The sequence below is a fragment of the Homo sapiens genome, chromosome 15 (assembly GCF_000001405.40).
Source record: "Homo sapiens chromosome 15, GRCh38.p14 Primary Assembly".
Classification (NCBI taxonomy): Eukaryota; Metazoa; Chordata; class Mammalia; order Primates; family Hominidae; genus Homo; species Homo sapiens.
The window spans coordinates 97102809-97119565 of NC_000015.10; the positions used below are offsets into that span (position 1 = coordinate 97102809).

The following is a 16757-nucleotide window of genomic DNA, read 5'->3' on the forward strand; positions in this document are numbered from 1 at the left end:
CTTGATATTATTACCTCTAATCTCAAAGAGTTCATCTTTTTATTTTTCTTACATTTTATTGTAAACATAGACTGAATATTCACACATATATATGTGTGTTTGTATGTAATCTAGGTTGTCCTTCTCCAGATTAAGATCTTTCTCCACATATTCACTAGTACCTTCTTCCCTTGGTTGTTAGTATTGCTCTCAAATATTTTTGTAGACCCTGGGCAGGTTCATTCTGTTGAATATGCAAAGGCTACAAAGAGTTACGGTGTGCCTATTGACAGAATGACTGAATTGCTTCTCAGTCCTTCACTGACCCCCTAAGTCCTCTGAGAATTTTCTCCTTCATTCAGAAGTTCCAACTTGCCTAATGTACACATCCCCTGTCCTGTGATTTGTTGTTTAGCAGTCATTTATTTTATGTGGATATACTGGTTAGTGGAGTGAACTGCATGGTCGTCCAGCTCTGAAATTTGAGATTTATTTTGTGATAACTTAAAGCAACCAGTAGTTTATTTCTTCCTACCCGCCTGCTTTTTACCAGCAATAACAGATGAACTACTATACACTTCAGAGATTACCCCTCAAGTGGTTTTTCCAGACTCGTCTCTTCCCACTTCTTACCTGAGAAAATTTTCTTTTAAATCATAAATATTTTGCCTCTGGCCATGTTGTCACGCCAGAAATGGTGGCTAGGGTGGATTACTAAGGAACTTTAATGTGCTCAAGCTCTCAGGAGAGGGCCAGCTCTGAGACAACCTTGCACCACTGTGAGGTGTTCCCAACATTTAGCTGAGTTTTTTAATGCTGTGTAAGGGGGATACTTACTGTTAGTGGGAGGCTGACGTGTCACCTAAGAAAAGTTGTGTATATAGGGGGTCAGGAAAAAAAACTTCATTTTTTGAGGACATAAAATATAATGACTAGGGCAATAAGTATTCCTAGTCAAGCAGCAACAGAGCACTGAGCTGGCACCTGGTTGTGAAGGGCATGGTGGCTTTGGATGCGCCCATAGACCGTGGGAGGCACCGACCCCTGTCCTAGTGAGGACGTTGTAACTATCGCTGAAAAGGCGGGTGATTGTAAGTACCTATGTTGCTTCAAAGGTGGTTTGAAGCAACAAAAATTCTGGTCTACAGTAATATTCTTCAAATAAACAACTGAAATCCACCTATGTAGAAAATGATGTGAAATAGTGGGCCAATGTCTTTCCCTTCAGATAACGGGAGTGTGGAAAGGGTTATATGTAGAGGGAAGATGGGTGGAAATCATCCTTCATCTTAGACCCCAGTTATATTTACTGGAAATTCCTCTGTGAATCCAGAAGTTAGTTCTGTGTTTTGGATTGAATTGAACACCCCTCATCTTCATATGTGGAAGCCCTACCTGCCATCCCACCATGTGACTATACTTGCAGATAGGACTTTTGAGGAGGTAATTAAGGTTAAATGAGATTGTAAGAGTGGGGCCCCAATCCAATATGATTTGTGTCCTTGTAAGAAGAGAGAGAGAACAAGAAGGTGAAAGTACAGAGAAAAGACTAAGTGAGAACACAGGGAGAAGGTAGCCATCTGCAAGCCAAGGAGAGAGGCCTCACCAGAAACCAACCCTGCCAGCACCTTGATCTCAGACTTGCAGCCTCCAGAACTATGAGAAAATAAATTTGTGTTGTTTAAGTCACCCAGTCTGTGGTATTCTGTTATGGCAGCCTTAGCACACTAATATACTTTTGTGTTAACATTTTACAATTTTGATTATATTTCAAGTCTTTCAATGATAGCTTTTCACCATTACAACCCAAAAGTACAGATGAGGCCTTTAAAAGGGTAGCTGACAGGTAAAGACTATTTGTCTCAACCTATACTTTTATGCCTATCTGACACACCTGCTGTAAGGGTTAATTTTAAGTGTCAGCTTGAATGGATTAGAGGATACCCAGATATCTAGTAATGCATTATATCTGGGCATGTCTGTGAGGGTGTTTCTGGAAGAGATGGGCATTTGAATCAGTGGACTGAGTAAGGATGATCTACCCTTACCCAGTGGGACTGGGCACCATCTAGTTGGCTGAAGGCCTGGATAGAACAACAAGGTCAAGAAAAGCTGAATTCTCTCTCTCTCCTGGATCTGTGACACTCCTTTCCTGCTCTTGGACATCAGAACTCTAGGTTCTCTGGCCTTGGTCCACTGGAACTTGCACTAGTGGCCCCTCCTTGGGCTCTGGCTTCCTACTGAGAGTTACACCAGTGGCTCCCTTGGTTCTTAGACCTTTGGATTTAGATGGAGCCATGCTATTGGCTTCCTTGGTTTCTGAGCTGGCAGATGGTCTATCAAGGGACTTCTCAGCCTCCCTAATTGTGTAAATCAATTCCCTAATAAATTCCCTCTTATTTATGTCTATCTATCTAATGTACCTATCTAATCTATCTATCTGACTATCTATCTATGTATCTATCTATCATCTATCTCCGATTGACTCAGTTTCTCTAGAGGATCCTGACCAATATACCTGGTAACCAATTAGGTGGACTAAGCACATGGCAACATCACCTGTAGTAACTGCCCAAGACCCTCTGATTGCCACCCCCAACTTCTCTACTGATTCAATACTTTCCCTGTTCCTGGATTTTTGCTTTATTATATGTTAAGTCTTTATTTTTTGGTCCCAGAAAGGATTTCAGGGGTTTGGACTTCAAGATCTCATTTAAAATTTTGTGGGGAGCTGAAGGCCCCTGGGACATGACCCTCTCAGCATTCCACTGGAGGCTCTATGATCAAACAACAAACTGTTTATCATGAATGCAGGATGTGGGCAACCTCACGACTGCTCCCACTGCCAGGAGATTTGCTAAGGGCAACCAGTTCCTGGCGCCAAGCTCCTTAATGTTATCTACTGGGACATCTAGAGAATGCAGTCTTGCAACCCTACTGTGGATGGAGCAGCTGACCTCTTCTTCTACCCTCCTTCTTGCTATCTCTTTTGCCTAATGAATATGGAGGGCTGTGTAAAGCTCAGGGCCCTTGTCCACTAGAGGCAAGATGTCCGCTGACCCCTTATTCCATATATACTCTTTTTGTCTCTTGTCTTTTATTCCCGCATTCGCCCACCATTGTTCAGTCCCCCTAGGTCTGTGTGTGTTACATAGTGGCGCCATGAACAGCAACAGAATCGGGTGCTCCACAAGATTTTGTGTCTCATTCCCCACTTGTTGGTTCTATCTTGCCTAGTTTACAAGGCTTTGCCATATCACTGCATCTTACCTGTCATACTGCTGTATTTTATTTGGTTGAATTTTGATATTAAAATTATCAAGTGTAATTAAGACAATGTCTCCTTCTGGTGCACATTTTGGACAGGTTTGCTGGAATGTTCCCTATAAATTACAAACTCTATAGTTAGTATTGGGAAAAATATATCACTGGTAAGTACAGAAGATAATCTATATCATGAATAAAACAGTTACTGCATATTGGCATTCAGATTTGAAGTAGAATTAACCAGCTTAAATGTCGGTTAACCTGGTAGTCTCATCAACCATATCAATCATGACCATGGTTGTTAATAGTTTTAGCATGAAATGTACCTGGAATAAAACTGCAAATTATTAGATCTTGGTTTACTAAAGCTCAACTTTATAATCAGAAATCGAAATAATCACAAAGAAAATTTTTGAAAAGATAAGTGCTTTTGAATTGATAACACTTCAGGGGACTGTGAGGCATATGAGCAAAATTTCTATGGACAATATATTTAAGATATAGGAAATGGCTGCTAATTTTAGTAAAAAGAAAATTTAAAAAAGCATAAGGTCATTCAGTTCATAATGTAATCAGGTTAGCAATTTCATAGACAAGAAACGATTAACTCCTCAAATTTATTCTTTTGTATAAAACTTTCAGAAACATGGGTGAGTCTAATACTCCCTTGAAGCAAAGGTCACAGCAATTATTATCTTTCCCCATGCTTAATTTCCAACTTTGACTTTTACGTGTCAGGAAATGTGTAGAAAATACAGAGTTGTGAAATGAATAGTTTATAGCAGAAAATGTTTGTTCAAGAGAATAGCTATAAAGGCTAGAAAGAACTAACTTCAACATTAGCATTTGTAAAAGATATGGAACATTTCAGAAATTCTGCCATTAAATATGAGTACACTTAGATGAATAATAGATGATTATGATCTAATTGATCAATAATAGATGTTATTGATCTAATTGATCAATAATTAGCTGATTTAGATCAAGAATGCAAATATTTTGCATTCTTCATATGTTTATACTGATGTCTTTTATTACACAGCTCCTGAGCTATAAGGTGATTTGCAAAGGTGAAAATGAGACTATACCCAGACTGTCTTCCTACTCCAGAAATGTTAGCCATGTAGGTAAAGCTGACGTATTTAACATGCCTGTGAATAAAGGTATATTCTTCAACTATTATGGGGATTTCAGATAAAATACATACTGAAAATTTGTATTTTCAGTATTCCATGTCATTAACTCTTTGGATCAGTAAGCTTTTGTTAGATTGTTTTTCTTTTTCTTTTTTTTCAAAATAAGAGATACGATTTGAAGAGTAATCATGAGTTTTTTAAATGCTATTCCTTATATTCAGTACTTCACAAGGAATGTAGAGAAAGTTTAAAAAGAAATTATATTTTAACTTCAATACGGTGGCATCAATATCAGCTTTAGTGGCAGAAATACATTTCGGAGGACAACTTTCTGTTGTATTTCTCATGTTTCTTAATATCTTACAAGTAGAGTCACTGACAGTTTCTGTTCCAAACTATCTTTTCAAAGATATTTGTATAGAGAATAGCCTTGGAAGATAGAAACAGTTTCTCCTTCCAGAGAGCAAAGGGAAGAACTGTTTGCTATCCAGTATAATAAAAATGTCTCCTTCAACATAAATGACCTGATGGAGCTGGAAAACACAGCACATAAACTTCTTGAAGCATACACAAGTATCAATATCTAATTGACCAAGAAGAAGGAAGGATATCAGAGTTTGAAGATAATATTGCTTCAATAAGGCATGCAGACAAGATTAGAGAAAAAAGAATGAAAAGGAATGAACGAAGCCTCTGAAAATATGGGACTACATAAAAAGACCAAACCTACAATTGACTGGAGTCCCTGAAGGAGATGGGAGAATGGAAACAAGCTGGAAAACACACTTCAGTATATTATCCAGGAGAAATTCCCCAATTTAGCAAGACAGACCAGCATGCAAATTGAGGAAATACAGAGAACACCACTAAGATACTCCATGAGAAGATCAACCCCAGCACAATAATGATCAGATTCTCCAAGGCCTAAATGAAGGAAAAAAATGTAGCAGGCAAATAGAGAGAAAGGCCAGTTCACCTACAAAGGGAAACCCATTAGACTAACAGTGAATCTCTCAGCAAACACCCCACAAACCAGAAGAGAGTGGGGCCAATATTCAACATTCTTAAATAAAAGAATTTTCAACCCAGAATTTCATATCCAGCCAAACTAAGCTTCATAAGCAAAGTAGGAATAAAATCCTTTCCCAACAAGGAAATGCTGAGGGATTTTGTCACCACCAGGCCTGCCTTGCAACAGCTCCTGAAGGAATCACTGAATTTGGAAAGGAAAAACAGTACCAGCCACTGCAAAAACACACCAAAGTATAAAGACTAACGACATTATGAAGGAACTGTATCAACTAGTGTGCAAAATTACCAGATGGCATCATGATGACAAGATCAAACTCACACATAAAAATACCAACCTTAAATGTAAATGGGCTAAATGCCCCAATTAAAAGACACAGACTGGCAAATTGGATAAAGAGTCAAGACCCATCAGTGTGCTGTATTCAGGAGACCCATCTCACATGCAAAGACACACATAGGCTTAAAATAAAGGGATGAAGGAAAATGTACCAAGCAAATAGAAAGCAAAAAACAGCAGGGGTTGCAATCCTAGTCTCTAACAAAACAGGCTTTAAACCAACAAAGATGAAAAAAGACAAAGTAGGTCATTACATAATGGTAAAGGGATCAATTCAACAACAGCAGCTAAGTATCCTAAATATATATGCACCTAATACAGGAGCACCCAGATTCATAAAACAAGTTCTTAGAAACCTACAGAGACAGACTTCCACACAATAATAGTGGGAGGTTTTAACACCCCACTTTAAATATTAGATCAATAAGACAGGAAATTAACAAGGATATTCAGGACTTGAACTCTGCTCTGGATCAAGTGGACCTAATAGACATCTACAGAACTCTCCACTCCAAATCAACAGAATATACATTCTTCTCAGTGCTACATGGCACTTATTCTAAGAGCAACCACATAATTGGAAGTAAAACACTCCTCAGCAAATGCAAAAGAACTGAATTCATAATAATCAGTCTCTTAGACCTCAGTGTAATCAAATTAGAACTCATGATTAAGAAACTCACTCAAAACCACATGATTATATGGAAATTGAACAGCATATTCCCGAATGACTCCTGGGTAAATAATGAAACTAAGGGAGAAATCAAGAGAACATGTACCAGAATCTCTGGGACACAGGTAAAGCAGTGGTAAGAGGAAAATTTATAACCCTAAATGCTCACATCAGACAGCTAGAAAAATCTCAAATAGACATCCTAACATCACAATTAAAAGAGCTAGAGAAGCAAGAGCAAACTAATCCAAGAGCTAGCAGAAGACAAGAAATAACTAAGAACAGAGCAGAATTGAAGGAGATAGAGACACAAAAAACCCTTCAAAAAATCAGTGAATCCAGGAGCTGTTTTTTTTTGAAAAAATTAACAAAATAGATAGACTACTAGCTAGACTAATAAAGATGAAAAGAGAGAAGAATTAAATAGACCAATATGATAAAGGGGATATAACCATTGACCCTGCAGAAATACAAACTACCATCAGAGAAAACTAGGAACGCCTCTATGCAAATAAACTAGAAATTCTAGAAGAAATGGATAAATTCTGGAACATATACACTCTCCCAAGACTAAAGCAGGAGGAAGTCAAATCCCTGAATAGACCAATAACAAGCTCTGAAATTGAGGTAGTAATTAACAGCCTACCAACCAAGAAAAGCCCAGGATGATAGATTCACAGCTGAATTCTACTGGAGGTACAAAGAGGAGCTGGTACCAATCCTTCTGAAACTATTTCAAACAAGTAAAAAGGATGGAGTCCTCCCTAAATCATTTTCTGAAGGCAGCATCATCCTGATACCAAAACCTGGCAGAGACACAGCAAAAAGAGAAAACTTCAGGCCAATATCCCTAATGAACATCAATGTGAAAATCCTCTACAAAATACTGGCAAAACGAATCCAGCAGCACATCAAAAAACTTATCCACCACGATCAAGCTGGCTTCATCCCTGGGATGCAATGCTGGTTCAACATATGCAAATCAGTAAACATAACCCATCACATTAACAGAACCAAAGACAAAAACTACATGATTATCTCAATAGATGCAGAAAAGGCCTTTGATATAATTCAACATCCCTTCATGTTAAAGTTAAAAACTCTCAATTAACTAGTCATTGATGGAACATATCGCAAAATAATAAGAGCTATTTATGACAAACCCACAGCCAATATCGTATTGAATGGGCAAAAGCTAGGAACATTCCTTTTGAAAACCAGTACAAAACAAGGGTGCCCTCTCTTACTACTCCTATTCAACATAGTATTGGAAGTTCTGGCCAGGTCAATCAGGCAAGGGAAAGAAATAAATCGTATTCAAATAAGAAGAGAGGAAGTCAAATTATCTCTTTTGAAAACGACATTATTGTATACTTAGAAAACCCTATCCTCTCAGCCCCAAAATTCCTTAAGCTGATAAGCGACTTCAGCAAAGTCTCAGCATACATAATGTGTAAAAATCACAATCATTCTTTTACACCAACAATAGACAAGCGGAGAGCCAAATCATGAATGAACTCCCATTCACAATTGCTACGAAGAGAATCAAATATCTAGGAATACAGCAAACAAGAGATGTGAAGGACCTTTTCAAGGAGAACTACAAACCACTGCTCAAGGAAATGAGAGAGGACACAAACAAACGGGAAAACACTTCATCCTCATGGATAGGAAGAATCAATATTGTGAAAATGGTCATACTGCCCAAAGTAATTTATAGATTCAATGCTATTCTCATCAAACTACCACTGACATTCTTCACAAAATTAGAAAAAACTACTTTAAATTTCATATGGAATCAAAGAAGACCCTGTATAGCCAAGACAATCCTAAGCAAAAAGAACATAGCTGGAGACATCATACTACCTGACTTCAAACTATACTTCAAGGCTACAGTAACCAAAACAACATGGTACTGATACTAAAACAGACATATAAACCAATGGAACAGAACAGAGGCCTCAGAAATATCACCACACATCCACAACCATCTGATCTTCAACAAACCTGACAAAAACAAGCAATGGGGAAAGGATCTTTTATTCAATAAATGGTGCTGGGAAAACTGGCTATCCATATGCAGAAAACTGAAACTGGACCCCTTCCTTATACCTTATACAATAATTAACTCAAGATGGATTAAAGACTGAAATGTAAAATCCAAAATTATAACATTCAGGACATAGACATGGGCAAAGACTGCATGATGAAAACATCAAAAGCAATTGCAAGAAAAGCCAAAATAGACAAATGGGATCTAATTAAACTAAAGAGACTCTGCACAGCAAAAGAAACTATCATGAAAGTGAACAGGTAACCTACAGAATAGGAGAAAATTTTTGCAATCTACCCATCTGACAAAGGTCTAATATCCAGAATTTACAAGGAACTTAAACAAATTTACAAGAAAAAAATAAACAACCACACCAAAAAGAAGGCAAAGGATATGAAAAGACACTTCTCAAAAGAAGACATTTATGCAGCCAACAGACATGAAAAAAAGCTCAACATCACTGATCATTAGAGAAATGCAAATCAAAACCACAAGGAGATACCATCTCATGCCAGTCAGAATGGCAATTATGAAAAAGTCAAGAAACTATACTTGCTGGCGAGGCTTTGGAGAAATGGGACCACTTCACTGTTGGTGGGATTGTAAATTAGTTCAACCATTGTGGAAGACAGTATGGAGATTCCTCAAGGATCTAGAACCAGAAATACCATTTAAACCAGCAATCCCATTACTGGGTATGTACCCAAACAAACATAAATTATTCTACTATAAAGACACATGCACACATATGTTTATTGCAGCACTACATACAATAGCAAAGACATAGAACCAACCCAAATGCCAATCAATGGTAGATTGGATAAAGAAAATGTGGCAAATATACACTATGGAATACTATGCTGCCATAAAAAAGATGAGATCATGTCCTTTGCAGGGGCATGGATGAAGCTGGAAGCCATCATCCTCAGCAAACCAACAGAAAACCAAACTCCACATGTTCTCACTCATAGGTGGGAGTTGAACAATGAGAACACATGGACACAGAGAGGGGAACAACACACACCAGGACCTGTTGGGAGGTTGGAGGTGAGGGGAGGGAACTTAGAGTACAGGTCAATAGCTGCAGCAAACCACCATGGCACATGCATACCTATTTAACAAACCTGCATGTTCTGCACATGTATCCTGGAACTCAAAATATTATTATTATTTTGTTTAAAGAGGTCTCCTGGCCGGGCTCCGTGGCTCATGCCTGTAATCCCAGAACATTGGGAGAACAAGGCAGTTGGATCATGAGGTCAGGAGTTTGAGACCAGCCTGGCCAAGATGGTGAAACCCTGTCTCTACTAAAAATACAAAAATTAGCCAGGTGCAGCGGCAGCCACCTGTAATCCCAGATACTCGGAAGGCTGAGGCAGGAGAATCGCTTGAACCCCAGAGGCGGAGGTTGCAGTGAGCTGACATTGTGCCCCTGCATTCTAGCCTGGGCGACAGAGCAAGACTCCGTCTCAAAAAAAAAAAAAAAAAAAAAAAGGCTCCTTCTGGATCAAACTTTGGGCAGGTTTACTTAGCACCCTCTTATAAATTATGAGGATTTTCTAAGCTCACTCAGAATTCCTCAGCCGTGATGCACAATACTGTGTGTATAGCATCCTTCTGGCCCTGTGTTCCCATTATCACCTGGGAATTTTGGGAGACTACTGAAACTGACATAAACAAGAATTTCATAGTGACTGCTTGGTTGTAAGTCATAAAGTCTTACATCTTTTGCCAGCATTTGTAAAACTAAGGCAATTTTCTTTTATTTAAAAAGCACACATGCACTATAAAAAGCTTAGGCCCGATACAGTTGAGTTCTTCATAAATGTCTAATAGCAGCAGAAGTGTGGTAGCTACAGCAGTAGCAATGGTAAGCAGCAACACAGAAAGACAGAAAGTCTCTTGTAATTTACAAAGCCCCTCCAGTTTTCAAACTATGGAAGTGACATATTTTCAAATGTACAAAGGTCATTTTCAAAGACTAAGTCAGCTCCTGGCACAGCTTTGCTGGTCATTTTCCTGCAGCTTTGGCTGTGTCCCCTTCTTCACTTTAATAGCCTTTATTTTTGTATACTTTCTTATTTATTAAAAACTCCAGCTGAGTTTATTCTTTTCAAATAATCGAATCATAGATGAATTGATTCTTAGTGTCCAAGCCAAAAGTAGAGAAAAATTTCCAAAACAATAAAAGACAAAAATGGTAATAAATAATAATTAATCTGATGGAAGTCAGGAAGGGAGAAAAGGAAAATAAGAAAATAATTCATTAAAATATAGAGAAAATATTAGATAAAACTTAAAAATCAAGATATATTAATATCAGTAATAACAATTGGTAAAAGCAAATTAGGCATATTATTATTAAAATGTTATTAATTTTGTCTTCTATTTCCTTCCTTTTAGTGTTTCTTTATTTACTATTAATTTTTATGTTGTTCCTAAGAATTAAGCATTTAGCTTAATTCACATTCTTTCTTAGTTTCTAACATATACATTTCAGACTATATATTCTCCTCTAAATACCGGTTTTAGCACCATGACACAAACTTTAATAAGTGGAATTTTCATTGTGCATTTGATCCTGTATAGATTTCAATGTTAATCATTATTTCTTGACTGACCCCATAATTGTAGTGTGAGAATATAGTCTTCTATTAACAGATTTTTCTTTTTGTGTATTTGTTAAGTCCGGCTTCAAATCCACTCTTGCTTATTTTATTTCTCAATTGTCTACCCAATTTTTAGCTCTGAAAAGAAGGTATTAAAAATATTGCAACATGGTTGTGTATTTGTCCCTTTTTACTTGAAATTTTGTCAATATTTTTGATAATTTTTGATGCCAATTTTATGGATGTACAAAGACTCAAGTTATTTATGACATTCTAGAAAATTGGTTCTTTTTTCACTATTTAATGATGCTATGTATAAATAGTGATGACTTTTGCCTTAAAGTCTATTTAACATTTACATATTAGCTTTATTTTGGTTAATACATAATTTTACTTATGCTATTAAAACTAGCATATAGTCATTTTTTAATTTAAAAAAATTAAAGGAAAACCTACCATATGAAAAAATGAGAATTTAGTAAAGTGGTGAGTTATAAAATAATCCATAAAAAATCTTCATAAATAGTGCTTTCATTAAACTGTTTTCTAATTACCTCATCTAAATGTACCATGTTTCCTCTAGAAGACTGATTGGTACAGGTATCAATACAGGCGTCAATTCAGCTAATGTGATGACATATGGTCACACAGCAATTAAATAGCCTACACAGGTTCCATACACATGAGGACAGGCCTCCAAAGGCCTGTGATCCCTTAAACACATTGCCCCATTTCCAAATGTCCAAGAAATGGAAATATTTAATGTAGGCAGTCAAACAAATGTTCAGGCCATGGAGAAACTCCAAAATCGTTTAATAATAATACATTTTTCATTTAAAGTTTCCCAGGCCAAAGTGGTGAATATTTTCAGTGATTCCTTGGAATTTCTGCATAACATTTTTTTTTTTTTTTTTACTTCTGAATTAGAAACGTCATACTCAGCAGCTTTGACAGGTAGTACTCAGAAATGGTGAAGAAAGTTCATGTTAGGGATTTTAAAAAATTCAGGAGTTTTGACAAGGAATTAAAGAGGAGGCAGCACTTTTCAGCACTTGTGGACAATGTGGGAGAAAAAGTGGAATATGCCGGACTTAGCAGGGGCTGGGGAGTTAGGGTCATATACTCCTTCTTTGTGCACTGTGAATGACATGGCATTTAAGCTGAGACATAATAGGTTATGAGATAAGGATGGACAGGAAACAGATGCTATAAATAACTGGAGGCTTCAGATAGCATGGCACGAGTGCTCCTTGCACACACAGAGGCGCGTGTGTATACATAGGCCCATGCCCCAAATCCTTAAATATATAGCAGAAGCACTGTAAAAAGTTGATGAGGAACCAAAATAATGTTCAGCTTTGCTAACTGTGCTCTGACATGGAGGAAATCACTGTGTACTGAGGAGGGTTCTTGCCCTCCCAACCTTCAGTGACTGAACTTTCTTTCCCCTTTGCTAAAGCTGTAACGATGCTAACACATGGCACTCAAAACTTTTTTCCTGTTAAATGTATCTATGATTTATCTGTAAGGCCGGGGCTTTTGGGGAGACAGCCTCTACACTCAAAGCGTACCTGTAATGAGTTTGAATGATCAGGCTGCCATTTTCAAAAGCCCAACCTCTAGCATTTAACTATTCCATAGACCTCTGGAAGAAGTGGCAACAGAGGGCTTCACTGCTAAACTGTTCTAGGGAAACTTCTCATTGCTTACAATGCACAATGTGGAAACCTCTTAGACTGGATGAGTCATCTCAGGTAGGCGCTTTGCAAATCAGCCTGGTGTATTTTCTCACTTGGAGCCCAGGCTGTCAAACCCCACAGTGGTGTCACGCAAGGTGAACAATGTGGTAACCTGTTAATTTGCTGGATATAATGACAGCAATAATCTGATCAGGTTTGCCAAACTGTCTCCTTTCTAAGTGGACAGTGGACGCTCCTGTTAAGATTGTGTCACATTGAGACAAGTGTGTGATTACTGTATCCAGTTACGGCACTTAGGTAACTTGAGACATCCCACTGTTATGCGAGTAACCCCCATTTACCATCCTTTGCATCCCTGGCTGTGATTGACATATTGATGTGCTTGAACCTGTCTCCAGGCCCCTTATTTCCCTTTGAGACTACCTCAATCACAGATACCTTCAGCTATACTCAAGTGCATTTATCAATATGTTAACCCCTCTCTGAAGATATTCCAACAGGAGTTATTTCTAGCCTATACTGAGAAAGCTACTTGACCACTCCAACTAAGGAGAAGAAAGGCAAACATACTAGGGTTGTAGAAGATGCATCTTTAGACTTTTATGATACAGCAGGAATTGAATCTTTGTTTTCTTTTAGTACACAGGGCAATTTTCTTCCAAGGTATTAGACATGCCATACAGACCTCCTTGATACCTAAACCTGAGTCAAAAAGAGAATTTGAGAATATGAAGACAGTAAAATCATTTCGGTTTAGGTAGATTTATTTTGACAATTGTTCGTATGCAAACTTGTTCAAATAGTTACTATGTTCAGTAGATACAGTTTGGGAAATGTCATTTGAATGATCCATGAAAGTACATCAAGATTGCAAAGAAGTTGTCATGAGATTTTTTTCCCCAATCAACTATTTTTGTCAAAAAACATCACACAATTATTCAAACATATTATTCAAACATACTTAGTATCACAGCTGTATTACTTCAGCTTTACTTAAATTAAGGCCCACTTTAATATCCTGTTTACTATCTTCTTTCTTTGGTTTGTTTTTATGGGGAGGAAAAAAATGTTTAATCATAACAGGTGGAACAAACATTGGTAAAACAAAACAAATTTTCTAAAATTTATATTTCAAATATCTTGTGAGATAAATAACAAAAAGGCTGCTAAAATAACTGGTTGATGGAAATAAGAAAGCTAGATAGATGCTGGCCCTAGAGGGGAATGAGCTAAAAGACTAGATATAAACAGAGATCCCAATGTGTGAAAATAAAAATATAAAGAGGGAGGATCTGCAAATTTTAGAAGTTAGTATGATGTCACTGGTCAGAAAAATTCTGGAAGTAATTATTATATGAGAAGCAATGATCATATAATTATGGACCCACCATAAGTTCCAAAGAAGTGAGCCATGTGAGGAAACTTTATTTATTTGATAGAATATTCTTCAGTACCTCTTTTCTATCCTTTTGCTTTCTCCCCCTTTCTGCCACTGATTCATTCTTCACTCTGCACATTGAATTTTCATTCTAGCTCATTTTCCAAATCTGAGCATGGGTCTTGACATCTTTCAATGGCTCTTTCATGCTTTATGACTAAATGTCCAAACCGCTTTTTGTGGCATACACAGTCCTCTGTGATTTGTCCATTTCCATAACTTCTGCCTCCCATAACCCTAAACAATTACCTCTGTCACACATTACTTATTGTTAAATTCCCATGTATCTTTCAATGCCTGGCTTGAATATTACTCATGCAAATTTCCTCTGACTCTTGCCTCCCCTTTCTCCACTACAAGATAGAGTCAGATATTCCCACATCTTGGGGCAAAATAAAATGTGCACTTACCTCTATGAAGCAATACAGGGAGAGTGATACTTGTCGCCTTCCAAAACATCAATTTGAACAACTATCCACACATGACAATATTTTCACAAGGGCTAAAGAATCCAGGTAAGAGATTATAGCACCTGGGGATAGCACAGAAATAAGAAAAGATGCATTAAAGAGGGTAGGAAGGATAGTTTTGTATTGCCTTCATCACCCCAGCCCCAAGCCTACACAGTACAGCATGGAGAGAGATATCCTCCATGTGGGGGAAGGAGAACGAAGTGAGCACCTGACTTTGCTACAAACCCCAGCTCCAGGTCATCCCAGTGAAACCTGGTACCAGATCTATAATAGCAGACCCAGGGTCCAGGCCCATCTAGTGCCAGGCTAGTCCCTGAAGACCAAGGTCTAGGATGGCCTCAACAGACCCAGGATCCAGGCCTGCCACTGAAGTCCAGGCTCTAGCTGTGCCACCCACTGACCCAGGCATCAGGCTGGACCTTTTGAGGACTCCAGCAGCAAAGCTGCTCACCCAGAACCTTTCCCAGACAAATAAGAGCTATGTGAGTTCATTATTACTAGACTTGCCCTACAAGAAATGCTAAAGGGAGTTCTTCAAGTTGAAATAAAAACAATAGCAAACGCCGGGCACGGTGGCTCACACCTGTCATCCCAGCAATTTGGGAGGCTGAGGCGGGCGGATCACGAGGTCAGGAGATCGAGACCATCCTGGCTAACACGGTGAAACCCTGTCTCTACTAAAAATACAAAAAAATTAGCCTGGCATGGTGGTGGGCGCCTGTAGTCCCACCTACTCAGGAGGCTGAGGCAGGAGAATGGTGTGAACTCGGGAGGCAGAGCTTGCAGTGAGCCGAGATCATGCCACTGCACTCCAGCCTGGGCAACACAGTGAGACTCTGTCTCAAAAAAAAAAAAAAAAGAAAAAAGAAAAACAAATGAAAGTATAAAAGTCACTGAAGTGTAAAAATATCAACTACAAAATACTCTAATACTGTATGGTAGTGTGTAAGCCACTTTTAACTGTAGTATAAAAGTTAAAAAAATTAAAAGTGGTGGAGGGGAGAGCATCAGGAAAAATAGCTAATGCATGCTGGGCTTAATACTTAGGTGATGGGTTGATAGGTGCAGCAAACCACCATGGCACATATTTACCTATGTAACAAACCTGCACATCCTGCACATGTACCCCAGAACTTAAAATAAAATAAACACAAAAGACCTGGCTTTGGTAGGTATATCAAGAACTCTAGGGAATGAGGTGATGTATTGATACCTTGAGGATTTTCAGCATTAGGAACCTAGGAAGAGTATTCCCTTGACACAAACAGCAGTATTCTCACAGAGTGGGAACATCACCAGCTGTGGTAGGGTGTAGACACCAACCTGCAGTGGTTTTGTGGGAAACACATTTCCACAAGAGTACTGAAGAGGAAGAAGTTCAGATGACAAGTGATGAGCTTATGTGAGACTCCAACCAAGACTCAAAAAATAAATAACTGGATGTGTGTTTAAGAGTCTAGGGGGATGCTGGAGGTCTTTGCTGTACATAAAAGGGCAGAGCCAGTACAATTTGAGCTAATTAGATAACGCATAGTGGAGCAAAGACAAACTTACCCAGCTGAGGCCACTTGAGACCAACAGCCTCGCCACTATCAGTAAGTGAAGGCATCCTGGACCATTCAGTCTCCACAGCAGAACTTGACCAGAAAAAAGTAACTGCCAGCTGGCACACAGAATCATGAGAAATAATAAATATTTGTTATTTCCAAATAAGTAAAAGTAACTATAGCTACAATAATTTATTAATGAATATACAATGTATAAAAGATGTAATTTGTGACATCTTTGACATAAAACAGGATAATTATAAGATGTTTTATGAAAAACCTCATGGTAACCACAAAAAAAGAACAGTAGTAGATACACAAAAGAGAAAGAGAAAGAAATCAAAGCACACCATACAAAAAAAAAATCATCAAATTACAGAGAAAGACAGCAAGAAATGAACAATGGAATGAAGGTGCTACAAACAGCCAGAAAACAATTAACAAAATAGCAGTAATAAGTCCTTACTATCATTAATTACTATAAATGTAAATGGATTAAATTCTTCAATAAAA

General features: G+C 38.0%; 1 long non-coding RNA gene across 1 annotated transcript; it reads right to left on the reverse strand.

Annotated features, from left to right (window-relative positions):
* Window positions 1-47: 47 nt before the first annotated feature.
* Window positions 48-16338, reverse strand: LOC105371005 (uncharacterized). The gene is made up of 4 exons (XR_932684.2): window positions 16252-16338; window positions 14635-14756; window positions 13357-13488; window positions 48-3362 (listed from the first exon to the last, which is right to left on the reverse strand). It is a non-coding gene; the product is annotated as an uncharacterized LOC105371005 (long non-coding RNA).
* Between the last annotated feature and the right edge of the window lie 419 nt (window positions 16339-16757).